The sequence below is a fragment of the Homo sapiens genome, chromosome 3 (assembly GCF_000001405.40).
Source record: "Homo sapiens chromosome 3, GRCh38.p14 Primary Assembly".
Taxonomy (NCBI): domain Eukaryota; kingdom Metazoa; phylum Chordata; class Mammalia; order Primates; family Hominidae; genus Homo; species Homo sapiens.
In genome coordinates this window covers 9384378-9398065 of record NC_000003.12, presented here as the reverse complement: position 1 = coordinate 9398065, position 13688 = coordinate 9384378, and the positions used below count along the sequence as shown (strand labels likewise).

General features: G+C 42.5%; 2 protein-coding genes and 1 long non-coding RNA gene across 54 annotated transcripts in view, besides 1 other annotated feature; 1 reads left to right on the top strand and 2 right to left on the bottom strand.

The window, feature by feature from the left end:
• Window positions 1-451, bottom strand: part of SETD5 (SET domain containing 5) — an 80540-nt gene extending 80089 nt beyond the window's left edge. For all 39 annotated transcript variants that reach the window (XM_047448468.1, XM_047448473.1, XM_047448482.1 and 36 more), the window contains exon 1: window positions 89-451. The gene's annotated coding sequence lies outside the window, so the exon portion shown is untranslated. The remainder of the gene's footprint in view (window positions 1-88) is intronic.
• Window positions 244-1553: a silencer, noted in NCBI's record as "silent region_14033". NCBI's record gives its function as "represses an Ori minimal core promoter by ATAC-STARR-seq in GM12878 lymphoblastoid cells {active_cell/tissue: GM12878}" and the evidence as "EXISTENCE:reporter gene assay evidence [ECO:0000049][PMID:35858748]".
• On the top strand, window positions 572-12802 carry THUMPD3-AS1 (THUMPD3 antisense RNA 1). 3 transcript variants are annotated; one of them, NR_132780.1, is made up of 4 exons: window positions 572-642; window positions 2487-2560; window positions 6240-6387; window positions 7569-9221. It is a non-coding gene; the product is annotated as a THUMPD3 antisense RNA 1 (long non-coding RNA). The 3 variants fall into 3 exon arrangements; NR_132781.1 differs by lacking the exons at window positions 572-642; window positions 2487-2560; window positions 6240-6387 and adding exons at window positions 1443-1506; window positions 9939-9979; window positions 12143-12802 and having other exon boundaries at window positions 7569-7776; NR_027007.3 differs by lacking the exon at window positions 2487-2560.
• THUMPD3 (THUMP domain 3 tRNA guanosine methyltransferase) overlaps window positions 11275-13688 on the bottom strand; it is a 23738-nt gene continuing 21324 nt past the window's right edge. For all 12 annotated transcript variants that reach the window (XM_011533570.3, XM_006713086.4, XM_017006114.2 and 9 more), the window contains one exon: window positions 11275-13542. In XM_011533570.3, coding sequence (XP_011531872.1) covers window positions 13378-13542 — 165 coding nt within the window. In that variant the 3' untranslated portion in view covers window positions 11275-13377. The remainder of the gene's footprint in view (window positions 13543-13688) is intronic.

Genomic DNA, 13688 nt, shown 5'->3' with positions numbered 1-13688 from the left:
GAGCGAGCGCGGGGAGACGGAGGAGGTGACCCTTCCCTCCCCTGGGGCCCGATCGTGAGGTTCGGTCTCTTTTCTGTCGGACCCTTACCTTGTCCCAGGCGCTGCCGGGGCCTGGGCCCGGGCTGCGGCGCACGGCACTCCCGGGAGGCGGCAGGACTCGAGTTAGGCCCAACGCGGCGCCACGGCGTTTCCTGGCCGGGAATGGCCCGTACCCGTGAGGTGGGGGTGGGGGGCAGAAAGGCGGAGCGAGCCAAAGGCGGGGAGGGGGGGCAGGGCCAGGGAAAGAGGGGGGCCGGCACTACTGTGTTGGCGGACTGGCGGGACTGGGGCTGCGTGAGTCTCTGAGCGCAGGCGGGCGGCGGCCGCCCCTCCCCCGGCAGCGGCGGCGGCGGCGGCGGCGGCGGCGGCGGCGGCAGCTCACTCAGCCCGCTGCCCGAGCGGAAACGCCACTGACCGCACGGGGATTCCCAGCGCCGGCGCCAGGGGCACCCGGGACACGCCCCCTCCCGCCGCGCCATTGGCCTCTCCGCCCACCGCCCCGCACCCATTGGCCCACTCGCCGCCAATCAGCGGAAGCCGCCGGGGCCGCCTAGAGAAGAGGCTGTGCTTCGGCGCTCCGGCTCCTCAGAGAGCCTCGGCTAGGTAGGGGAGCGGAACTCTGGTGGGAGGGGAGGTGCGGTACACTGGGGGGATGGGTGGCTAGGGGGGCCGTCTGGTGGCTTGCGGGGGTTGCCTTTCCCGTGGGAAGTCGGGAACATAATGTTTGTTACGTTGGGAGGGAAAGGGGTGGCTGGATGCAGGCGGGAGGGAGGCCCGCCCTGCGGCAACCGGAGGGGGAGGGAGAAGGGAGCGGAAAATGCTCGAAACCGGACGGAGCCATTGCTCTCGCAGAGGGAGGAGCGCTTCCGGCTAGCCTCTTGTCGCCGATTGGCCGTTTCTCCTCCCGCCGTGTGTGAAAACACAAATGGCGTATTCTGGTTGGAGTAAAGCTCCTGTCAGTTACGCCGTCGGGAGTACGCAGCCGCTTAGCGACTCTCGCGTTGCCCCCTGGGTGGGGCGGGTAGGTAGGTGGGGTGTAGAGATGCTGGGTGTGCGGGCGCGGCCGGCCTCCTGCGGCGGGAGGGGAGGGTCAGTGAAATCGGCTCTGGCGCGGGCGTCCTCCCACCCTCCCCTTCCTTCGGGGGAGTCGGTTTACCCGCCGCCTGCTTGTCTTCGACACCTGATTGGCTGTCGAAGCTGTGGGACCGGGCCCTTGCTACTGGCTCGAGTCTCACATGAGCGAAACCACTGCGCGGGGCGCGGGGGTGGCGGGGAGGCGGGCGTTGGTACGGTCCTCCCCGAGGCCGAGCGCCGCAGTGTCTGGCCCCGCGCCCCTGCGCAACGTGGCAGGAAGCGCGCGCTGGAGGCGGGGGCGGGCTGCCGGCCGAGACTTCTGGATGGCGGCGGCCGCGGCTCCGCCCCGGGTTCCCACCGCCTGAAGGGCGAGACAAGCCCGACCTGCTACAGGCACTCGTGGGGGTGGGGGAGGAGCGGGGGTCGGTCCGGCTGGTTTGTGGGTGGGAGGCGCTTGTTCTCCAAAAACCGGCGCGAGCTGCAATCCTGAGGGAGCTGCGGTGGAGGAGGTGGAGAGAAGGCCGCACCCTTCTGGGCAGGGGGAGGGGAGTGCCGCAATACCTTTATGGGAGTTCTCTGCTGCCTCCCGTCTTGTAAGGACCGCCCTGGGCCTGGAAGAAGCCCTCCCTCCTTTCCTCCTCGCGTGATCTCGTCATCGCCTCCATGTCGAGTCGCTTCTCGATTATGGGCGGGATTCTTTTGCCTAGGCTTAAGGGGCTAACTTGGTCCCTGGGCGTTGCCCTGCAGGGGAGTGAGCAGCTGTAAGATTTGAGGGGCGACTCCGATTAGTTTATCTTCCCACGGACTAGAGTTGGTGTCGAGGTTATTGTAATAAGGGTGGGGTAGGGAAATGGAGCTTAGTCATTCACCTGGGGCTGATTTTATGCAACGAGACTGCGGATTATCACTACTTATCATTTTTGGAGCATTTTTCTAGAGACAGACATAAAGCATGATCACCTGAGTTTTATACCATTTGAGACCCTTGCTGCACCACCAAAGTGTAGCATCAGGTTAAATCTTAATAGAAAAATTTTAGCTTTTGCTTGAGAAACCAGTGCTTCCCTCCCTCACCCTCTCTCCCCAGGCTCTCTACCCCTTTGCATCCCTACCAGGCATCTTAGCAACTCTCACTCATACTTGATCCCATTTTCCATTTGTTGTACTTGCTCCTCTAGTATTCAGACATAGCACTAGCTTTCTCCCTCTCTTGATCTTGGGTAGCCTGGTGTCTCGCGAAACCAGACAGATTGGTTCCACCACAAATTAAGGCTTGAGCTGGGGCTTGACTCTTACCCAGCAGTGCTTTTATTCCTCCCTAGTTCACGTTCTTAAATGTTTATCTTGATTTTCATTTTATCCTTTTTCCTTAGCTGGGATTCTGTCCCTGACCGTCTTCACAGTCCAGGTGATCTTGACTACTGCTTTACAGAGAATTGGATCTGAGGTTAGGCAACATCTCCCTTTTTCTTCCTCTAAATACCTCTCATTTCTGTTCTTACCAGTTAGTAACTGATCTCAGATGCCTGTGTGATAGCTTCCAAATTGCTGTCTCTGTCTTTAGTGTTATCTTTTGATCCATCTTACATCTTGTTAGGATGATTGTCCTAAAGGAAGATAGAGCATGAAAATGACAGGTGAAACTCCATTACTGGCTTGTACTGTTTACAGCAAGTTGTCTAACCCGCGGGCCGCATGGGACCCAGGACAGCTTTGAATGCGACCCAACACAAATTCGTAAACTTTCTTAAAGTTTTAGGAGTTTTTTTTGCGGGGTGTTTTTTTTGTTGTTGTTGTCTGTTTTTTTTTTTTGCTCATCAGCTGTCCTTTATATGTGGCCCAAGACAGTTCTTGCAGTGTGGCCCAGGGAAGCCGAAAGATTGGACACCCCTGGTTTACAGGATGAATTCTGTTCTCGTGAATGTGATGCATAAGGTCCCTGGATAGACTTTCCTCAATTTAACAGCTTTTTCATTTTTCACTATTTTCCACATACTACACACACAAATATGACCTCTCTCCTGAAGTCACATGGAATGAATTGCAGTTACCCAAATCATAGAGACGTCATATATCTTTGTGGGGTGGTTCTTTTTGGAATGCTACCCTTGCTGCTTTTAATCCTGCAGATTCAAATGTCATCTCCCCTTTGGTCATGCCTTCCATGGTCTGTTGTTCTATGACCCAAACTGCCCTTTTAAAAAAGCAGTTTTCTTCTGACTCCTGAGCAGTTTGTACTGCGTGGGTCATAGTAATTCTGGGGTTGTTGTCATTGCTGATTTAAATTACCTTAACTATTCTGAGCTTTTTGAAGGAATAGTGTCTTGTACTCCTGAGCTCCTAGTATACTCTGATGTCTAGCCAACTTTAAGTAAATGGAGTGAGCGACATGTAAATGTCTTTATGGTTTGACATTTTATTAATCTTGAGCATTGGAAAAGTGGCTGGTATGACTAAAGAACTGAATTTTTATTTTTTATCTAATTTGAATTGCAACTGTGGACAGTATAGCTGTAGCCCCGGACTTGTTCTGTGGATTACAGAATACGTGGACATTGATGGTTTTCTCTTTTTACTGAGCAGTAAGGAAATAAAAGCTGAAGCTCTCTGGCCCATTACATTTCATTTAACTGCTTGTTTTGTTTTATTTATTATATATTTAGCTGAAAGCTAAGTCCAACAAACCATTTTTAAAGATGTGCCTGCCTTGGACAACAGTGAAAGCAAGCGTTAATGAGTTTGGATTTCAAAAAAAAATGCATAATGAATTTTAGGGAGGTGAGATTCCATTAAACTGTTACAGGAGCTACATAGTTAAATATATCAGAACTTGAATGAAGAATAGGTCTGTGTGATACAAATGAACCCAGCCTAAATTTCTGTCCTACAAGTTTTCACTTCCTGGAAACACTTGATTGGAGGAGCTCTAAGCATCATATCTTGAGTTATAGAAAACAATCACAAAGTAAGTTTTATCCTGAGGAATTATAATACCAACATTTTAACACCAAATGCTTTTTATATTGCTAATACAGTATCTTACACATTTTAATTATCTTTTTTTTTTTTTTGAGACGGAGTCTTAGTGTCACATACTGGATTGCAATGGCATGATCATGGCTCACGCAGCCTTGACTTCCTGGGCTCAAGTGATCCTCCTGCCTCAGCCTCCTGAGTAGCTGGAACTACAGGCACACGCTTCCATGCCCAGCTAATTTTTTTGTGTTTTTTTTTTTGTAGAGATGGGTTTTTGCTGTGCTGCACAGGTTAGAACTCCTGGGCTCAAGTGATCTTCCTGCCCTAAGCTTCCCAAAGTCCTGGGATTACAGGTGTGAGCCACCGCCCTAGGCCATTAAATATACTTTTTAAAAAGACCCTTATGTCAGCGATCTTCAGGCCTCCTGTGTGTGGAGACAGTTGTCTTAATGTAGATTCTCAGATCACCCAAAAATTCTGAATTCTTTTGGGGAAGGTGGAACCCCACAGGGCAGGCAGTATAACTCAGTATCTTCAAGTTCATTTGCTGACTCGGATATGCCTATTTACCTGCCAAAAATGATTACAGTTTCAGAGAAACTCTTCTCAATTGTATAGTATGTGACCCTCAATTTTTCCTCAAATGAACTGTTTTTTCCTCCTCCTAAAAAATAACAGAATGGGAATTTTGAGAGGCAAAGAGGAATAGTAATTAATATTTTTGGAAACTTGCAGGTCAGGTTTTCCTTTTAAAAGGAATGTTGAAATATATTCTTTCGAACAAGAGAAGTTCACCTTATTTGTGTTTCTCCTGCTTAATTGCAATCCTTAAGGAAAGTGATTTTTCAGTGCCTAAGCACAGAGCTGGAAGCTCAATAAATGTTAGTTTTGTTGGTTTATACGTGAAATTGATTCTCAAGTAATAGTTAAGCTCAGAAAACATATAAACAAGGCTTTTTGGGAGAGACTTCAGGGTCCCATTTAACCTACATCTCCTAATATTCTATTCATAGAGGAAACTGATGCCTCATGGTCTCTGAGTACATCTATCCCACCATTCAGTTCTTCTTTGGGTTTCCTGTACTAATCATTGCAGTTATCCTTTTCCTGCACCTTACTTCCTTGGGCTTTTTGTTTAAATTAACCAGCTACCTATCTCCTTTTCAAGTAGTTACATACTATTTCTTACCCTTATAAGACAAATTTATTAAGTATATTACACGCTTGTACTTGGATGAGAAAGCTGGTGAAACTTTTGTCAGGGCTAGTGTGTGTGTGAGATTTGCAAAATGTAAACTTAGGTTACTTCCATATATTTTTTGTGAGTGGAGGTTTGGCATAATTACATAATTCTCTTTTACAACACTCTGGTTTGACTGTTAGGTTAATTGTAGAGCACCTTGTTAGGTCACAAATCCAGAAGTCTGGTACTGGACTTTGCAGGTTGCTTTCTTAGTGGCATATTAGTTTATATTAGAGCACATACTTCTCAAGAAGCCTTTTTTTTCTTATCTGTGACTCTCTCTTCTTGAGATGGGATAATGTATTGGATTATTAGAGAAGTGTGAGTATTGAATCAGATAGTTTTATTTTATCTAGAGCAGGGTTAAACCTGATGAATTGTTTCTGCTCTCTCATGGAGTATATCTTCTTGGTGACAAAGACTTTTCTGTCTCTGATTTTTATCTTAGTCGTGGTTACATTTAATAATCCTGCTTTCCAGCTTTTCCTAGAGATCAGTCATCAGTGACCTTTTGTCTTGATACTTTGTCACCTTTTGTTTTCTGGTTTTGGGTTTTTTTTTTCTTTTTTAAACATATGTAACATTGGCTTTTCCTGCTGACAACAGTAACAGAGTTTCAGATCATGTTTATAGAATGGTTATTTCATCACCTAACTAATCTCACCTCTAGTGTATGGATTCTGGTAAAGTCAGTCAACAGTCTTCACAGCCTTTTCTATTTTTACTGACCTTGATTTAAAATCTAATCTTAGACCTTGAGGTATTGCTTACGAATAGTGTAATAATGAGGTACTACTTATAACAAATAATGGTAACATACTCTAGTGCGTACTATAGGCAAAAGCTAATGGAAACATAGGTAGAAGAAATGAAGTAATAGTTATTGAATGCTTTTTGTGTACTGCAGGTGTGGAAACAGGAAGAGAACTAGAACTGGAAGTAAAGCATTGAAGATGTGACTGAATTGCTGCAATCTCATGATCAAATTTGAATGGATGAGGAGTTGCTTTTTAGGGATGAGCAAAGAAAGTGGTTTCTCGAGATGGAATCTACTGGTGAAGTTGCTGTGAACATTGTTAAAATGCCAATAAAGGATTTAGGAATTACAGAAACCTGGTTGATAAAGCAGTGCCAGGGTGTGAGAGAGTTGACTTCAATTTTGAAATAAGTTCCACTGGCTGGGTGTGGTGGCTCACACCTGCAATCCCAGTACTTTAGGAGGCCGAGACTGGTAGATCATTTGAGGTCAGGAGTTCAAGACCAGCCTTGCCAACATGGTGAAACCCCACCTCTACCAAATTAGCCAGGTGTGGTGCACACCTGTAGTCCCAGCTACTTGGGAAGCTGAGGCAGGAGAATCTCTTGAACCAGGGAGGAGGAGGTTGCAGTAAGCCGAGATGGCGCCCCTGCACTCCAGCCTGGGTGACAGAGTGAGACCTTGCGTTTAAAAAAAAAAAAAAAGGAAAAGGAAAAAAAAGTTCTACTGTGGGTAAAATGCTATCATGCTATCAAACAGCATCACATGCTACAGAGAAGTCTTGTGAAAGGATGTCAGTGTGGCAAACTTCATTGTCTTTTAAGAAATTGCCACAGCTATCGTAATCTTCAACCACCACCACCCTGATGAGTCAGTAGCCATCGTTAACGTTGGCGTAAGACCCTCCACCAGCAAAAAGATTGTTAGCATTTTTTTAGCAGTGATGTATTTATCAATTATACATAATGCTATTGTACACTTCTTAATAGACTATGGTATAGTGTAACCATAATTTATGCACTGGGAAACCAACAAATTCATGAGATTCGCTTTATTGTAGTGCTCTGGAATTGAGCCTGCCGTGTTTCTGAGGTATACCTGTGTATTTAGTATGTTCCTTGTATATAAAACCCCATTTTATAGGGTAGGAAACTAAGGCTTAGAGTTTGAGCAATTTTCCCATAGATAACACCAATAAATTGAGGGCTGCAGAGACCACTTAAGTGGTTCTCTTAACAGTAGTCTAGACATGACGTAATGAGATTTGGCTTAGGAGTGACAATGGTAAGGAAGTTAAAGGATTCAGGAACCAAATACCAGTTATTGAGAAGAAAGAATGGCCTCAAAACATCACTTCTCAAGGAAGCCTTGATACCCTCACCCTTACTACACTGTATCCTCCATTTGAATGTTGTCAAGAGCTCTTCTCACAATTGTAAATAATAATTGTGTAATTTTGTTTTTTTTTTCCTACTTTAGGTTGCTCCTTGAGGGCAGGACAGTTCTTATGGCTTTATCCGTTGCGTAAGCACAGAGAGGTCTGCGAGGTCAAAACTATTGTCATGATAGCAAGATGCCTGTCTTTTTCATTTATTCTCACGGTGTGCAGAGGCTACATGATGTGTGATGACATCCTCATTGATGTTAATGAATGGTGCTATACTTGAATTTTCTAAGGTGTCATTAGGTAGGTTTAGGTATGCATACTTGTTTTTAGAAATTATTTTTTTCCTTTTTCCCATTTTTAGAAATCAACTCATTTTTTAGGTTATGCCTTCAGTAATCTTTGCAACCTCAATATTGTGTAATGGTTACTTTAAAATACTGTAGTTTTCTTTGTGCCTAAGTATAAACATAAGTACATTTTGTTGTTTTGTTTGCAATAGTGGTTTAAATATTTTCCCAAAATATCCAAATTTAAAAATTCTACAACTTTAGAATTTAATAAATTTATTCTAAAATATTTATATATTTTTTCATTTAAGAATGGATCGGCTTAAAAAGACTGCTTCTCATTTACTTACTGGCTATACCATCTGTATACTAATAAAAAACAAGATTTGATTTGGAAGGACTGACTCAAACTAACGAAAATATGAAACCTGTCTTTCTGCTTTGGAGATATTTACCTAATCATGTTCTGCAGTAGAATAATTTAGTTCTTTTGTCTTTTTTTGGAGATGAGGTCTTGCTGTGTTGCCCAGGCTATTCACAGCTGCCATCATAGTGAACTACAGCCTGAAACTCCTGGGTTCAAGAGATCCTTCTGCCTCAGCCTCCTGAGTAGCTGGAACTATAGGCATGCGCCACCAAGCCTGGGCTTTTAAAAAAATTTTAAAAAGAATTTTGAGACAGGATCTTGCCATGTTGCTCAGGCTAGTCTTCAACTCCTAGCCCTGAGTGATCTTGCTTTGGGCCTCTCAAAATGTTGAGTTAATAGGCGTGAGCCACCATACCCAGCCAAAAATTTTTTTAGAGATGGGAATGGAATGATCTTGAATAGTGTTGGTGCCACCTATGTTGTGGCATCATTTTGAAACCAATCATTCAGAGTGCTTTTTTTGGTAAGGCATTATTTTTTAATGCAGGTATGCCACTACTGGGAAAAAAAAAAAAACAGGTTTTAAAGCTAGAAATGAAAAGCTACTTAAGTATCTTAAAGGATAAGTTACTTTATTATACACTAGAAACATACACAATAGCTGAAAAACTTAAAAAATCTCACACTGCTGAATGTCTCTGCTGGCTGAAGTGTAAGTAAAAGATCATAGTAGTGCCGCTGTTGAGTGATAAAGCAACTTGTCATTAAAGATGTGTGTGCAGACATGGATTCTGAGTTAATATCTCATCTGTAGAAGTATATATTTGTCCCTTGCTTTGGGATTGGTTTCTGGACAGCACTCCCCCACCCTTGCTGGCCATTTGCCAAGGACACCAAAACCCAAGGATGTTGAATTCCCTTTTATAAAATGGCGCTGTATCTGCATACAACTTACACACATCCTCCCATATACTTTAAATCATTTCCAGATTTCTTATACTTCATACAATGTGAATGCTATATAAATAGTTGTTACATTGTGTACTTATATTTGTACTATTGTATTAAATATTCTCAAATATTTTCAAGCACATTTGGTTGAATCTGCAGATGCAGAACCTGAGGATATGGAGGGCTGACTGTGCTAATACGTTATCAATGGATGCGTGCATAAACATGGCTGGACTTGTTACTTGGCTTGTATTTGCCAGGCATCAGCACCAACTAGTTAAAGATACTCTTACGTGAAAGCTTGGCAACAAACACATGTCCTGAAATAATGCAAGTGTAGAATAACTTTTTAAAATCTCATGGTTTATGCTAAACTATATGTTGACATAAGAGTGGTGATAAGGCAACAGTAGGTAAAAGTAAAATTTCAGGCACCTTGGCACAAACTGTGGCAGTGGCATCAAACTCTAAGTTATTTTTCACTGCCATGCATTTGTGGTGTGAACCCCCACAAAAGAAAAAAACCAGTTTCACTCAAGAATGTCCTTGTGAAAGCAGTGACATTTTGTTAAATCTTAAACCCTACAGTACATAACTTTTTGAAATGGTTGTCTCAAGAAAAAGCACTCATGTAAGCTGAATTATCTGCTATTTCCTTGGAGCCTAACAACTGACAGCAATTGTTTTCAATGATAAAATCCAAACGTTGAGTCAAAATCAGAATTTCGGGAAAACTTGTGTCTAATATCAGGAACTTGACAGCTTCCCAATACTTCATGAGATAGTGATATTGAAAATAATTTTTTTTTTTTTTTGGGACATCTGGCTGACTGCAACCTCTGTCTCCTGGGTTCAAGCAATTCTCCTGCCTCAGCCTCCTGCATAACTGGGACTACAGGTGTGTACCACTGTACCCGGCTAATTTTTGTATTTTTAGTAGAGATGGGGTTTCACCATGTTGGCCAGGGTGGTCTTGAACTCCTGACCTCAGGTGATCCACCTTGGCCTCCCAAAGTGCTAGGATTACAGGTTTAAGCCACTGTGCCCGGCCAATGATATTTTAGGTAGTATACAGTAAAATGGGCCAACATTTGGGAGATTGACATAACTCAGTGAAGCTATATTTTCCTAATGACTAATACGTGAGATTATAGAAAACTGCTAGTAACATTGTAACCAATTGAATGCAAAAGAAACAATTCAGTTGTCTTCTATTTAAGTCAGACATTTAGGGAAACAATTGCCAAAATGTAAAACAATGCACCTATTTTTTTAAAAATATGCATTTGTTGCTATAATATTTAAATATTTTACTTTCTAATATGGTAAGATACTAGTAAAGTGATTTGGGGCCCTCAATCTTTAAGAATGTGAAGGGATTCTCTGAGGCCACAAAGTTTAAGAAATGGCTACTCTAGCACAAACGCACATAGTAAATACTCAAGTACCTGTTGAATGACTTCATGGAGTTAAAGTGACTCCTGGTATTAAATCTGTATGGCTGGGATAATGGGCATGCTAGGACAGGAAGCAGATTTCCTTAACTTCACCACTGTAACTCATTAACAAACATGTTAGCCTGAGACAGAAGTATTAAGGGGCGACAGGAAAGCCTTTCATAAGCAATGTGATGCTTTTTTTCACATTATTCAACATGGTTTAAAATTTGGTATACAGGCCTATGGTGTTTGTCCTGAACTTTTGCCAGAGTAGAATGGTTCATGTTTTTCCTCATAGATTTTCACTCCTCACTAAACTTCATGACATCTAACATGAACTTATTAGAAAAGGCTATGCTTGAGAATAAGGATATCTTTTTTCTATGCCTATGTTGTTAATGAGTATGAAGCACTTACAGGCTTTTATGTACTTGAGGTTCCAAAGACATTTCCAAATTTTCCCATTTTCAGTCTTCAACTTAACATTTTGGTCCTTGCAGTGGAGACCTGAGTCCTATCTGACATTGGGACTACAGTTAGGGCAGAATTTCCTAAACTGCCATTTTTTAAAGAAATAAGGGTAACCAAATGTTCCCCTTAAAAGCACTCTGGTACCCTCTAGTATTGGGAGATAACTATCTTCCCCTAATTAGATTTGTAAAATCTTTCTCAATATTTATTTACATTTTTTTCCCCTCAAATATATTGACTTTTTCATTCCCAGTAACAATATGTCTGGTCTGTAACTAAGTCATTCCATGTTCAGATTACAGATTTATTTCCCCATCTTTTCACATTCTTTTAGTCCAGGAGACCCACTTTGAAGGTTAAAACCAAGGTCACACAATGAATAGGTGGCAGTGTCACATATAACTCAGCTCCAGGCCTTATGAATCCTGCTTATAGCCCACTGCCTATTCTAGTCACCAGATTGAAAAACACCATACTAGGGAAGAAGACGGCAAACTATTGCCCACTACATATTTGTATCAGTCTTGTCAAATTTTTATTGTAGTATGTAATAGAATTAAAGCTATGATGAATCAAGTAAAAAATGATTTCCTTAAAAACTAAGCTAATAGGCGAAAATACTCGCTTGTTCAACAAATACCCAGTCTGGCAGATACAATACCCTGCCCTTAGTGGGGGGTGGAGTGGGGGGTGGGGGGGTGGGGAAAGACATCGTGGTGAAAACAGACATGGTCCTTGAACTTCCTGGTTCTGTGGGTTGCTTAATTTGAGGTTTAAATGGTTTCTCCCATCAGGTGAAAAGTTTTGTGTTCGGCCCATAAACAAAGCAGCTGTGAATTCTGATAGTGGTAAAAAGGCCAGTCTAGGATATAAAACCTTCATAAACATCTTATTTCCCATTCATTATGAAGTGTGGGGTAGGAGATCAGAGAAACCAGATGAGGATTGCTGGCTGTGCTGCTAATGTGAACTCTTCTTTCAAAAGTATTGTGTCCTTTTATTCTCAATGGAGACATCAGAAAGTATTAAGAGGAGTACTATTATAATACTAATAGGATACTGAAAATCTATACTGATTGCAGCCAGAGGCTCCAAAATAAACAATACTATGATGAGTTCCACAAAAAAACCTCAACTACTCTTTGTTCCAGGGAAGCACCATTTTCCACAAAACTCTCAAGAAGGACTTGTTGCAACTGGAAAAGCAATTAAATGTGAATCGTGATCCAGGAGAAAGTAACAACTCACATAACTCCCAAATTAAAAGTTTTCCAAAGATATATCATTTTTTTTCTCTTGGCCTTTTAAGAAACTAGCCAACAAATACTCTTGACAGGTTTGTGTTTGGTTTTGAAAACACACACCTTAGTGTACTGAAAGAAAAACAATTTCTTTTAATTTGGTTTGTTGGTCCCACACCCCATCTATCAATGTATGTGCTATTTACAAATAAGTTCTATACAGTATTTTTGCAGTACCTTTGATAATTCCTAGACCTCTATTTTCATTCTGTGTATTAATGTGAATAACAGATGGATATTTTAATATTTAAGGCAGATGGTAAACTTTCCTATAGGTCTTGTGAGACTTCGTCTTATAGGCTGAACACCATTCACAAAATGTAATAATGCTTCATTCCTTCAGGTTGAGGTAAAGAACTTGAGCAACTGGATTAGCAAAGCTGCAAAGAATGAAATGTGGCCTAAGATGTAATTATGTTCTCTGCCCTTCCTTTGGGCCAGGGTAGTTTTGCACTTGACACAATGGAAAATAGGCCATAAAGCCTGAAAATAAAATGTTCTAAACCCCAATCTCACAGCACTTTAGTAGGCTTTTCACTAGGCATCTTTAAAGTATTTTCAACAAAATACTAATTAAGCTACCACTTCAAAAGAGCTTCAAGGAAAAGCTCTGCTTTCTTATAAAATCTTTTTGAGACAGAGTTTCGCTCTTGTCGCACAGGCTGGAGTGCAATGGCGTGATCTCGACTCACCGCAACCTCCGCCTGCTGGGTTCAAGTGATTCTCTAGCCTCAGCCTCCTGAGTAGTTGGGATTACAGGCGCCCGCCACCACACCTGGCTAATTTTTGTATTTCTAGTAGAGACAGGGTTTCACCATGTTGGCCAGGCTGGTCTCCGGACCTCAGGTGATCTGCACACTTCGGCTTCCTAAACTGCTGGAATTACAGTCGTGAGCCACTGTGCCTGGTCTCATAAAACTTTTAAATTCCATCACATTACATTCACACCTTTTGCTAACCAGGATGAAGAGCCTTAAACAGGTTTAAAGAGTGCAGACTGCAGTTTTGTTAATACTTTTTTCCTCTCCAAGTTCTTTTATGCTAACATTTCCAGTGGTGGGAAGTACAAGTACTATTAGTCATCTTCATTCTTTGCATTGCCAAAGAGTTCCTCTTTCTCCGTCTTGTTCTGAAGGATGAACAAAAGCTTGAGGTGTACGTATCAGAACGTAAACTGCAGCACGAAGACCACCAACGTTCACCCAGACTGTATCCACCTTTCGCCATACGTGTCGCATTCCAGATAACGCCTGTGTACACACAAAAAAAATAACAATTAGGTTGACAATCTACTTTTACATCAACTAGGATTCTTAACTGCCAAGATAGGAAACCTCAGGGGAAGAGAAAACAAATCTTATCCAAACAAACATCCCCAAATCTCAAAAAGATCCCA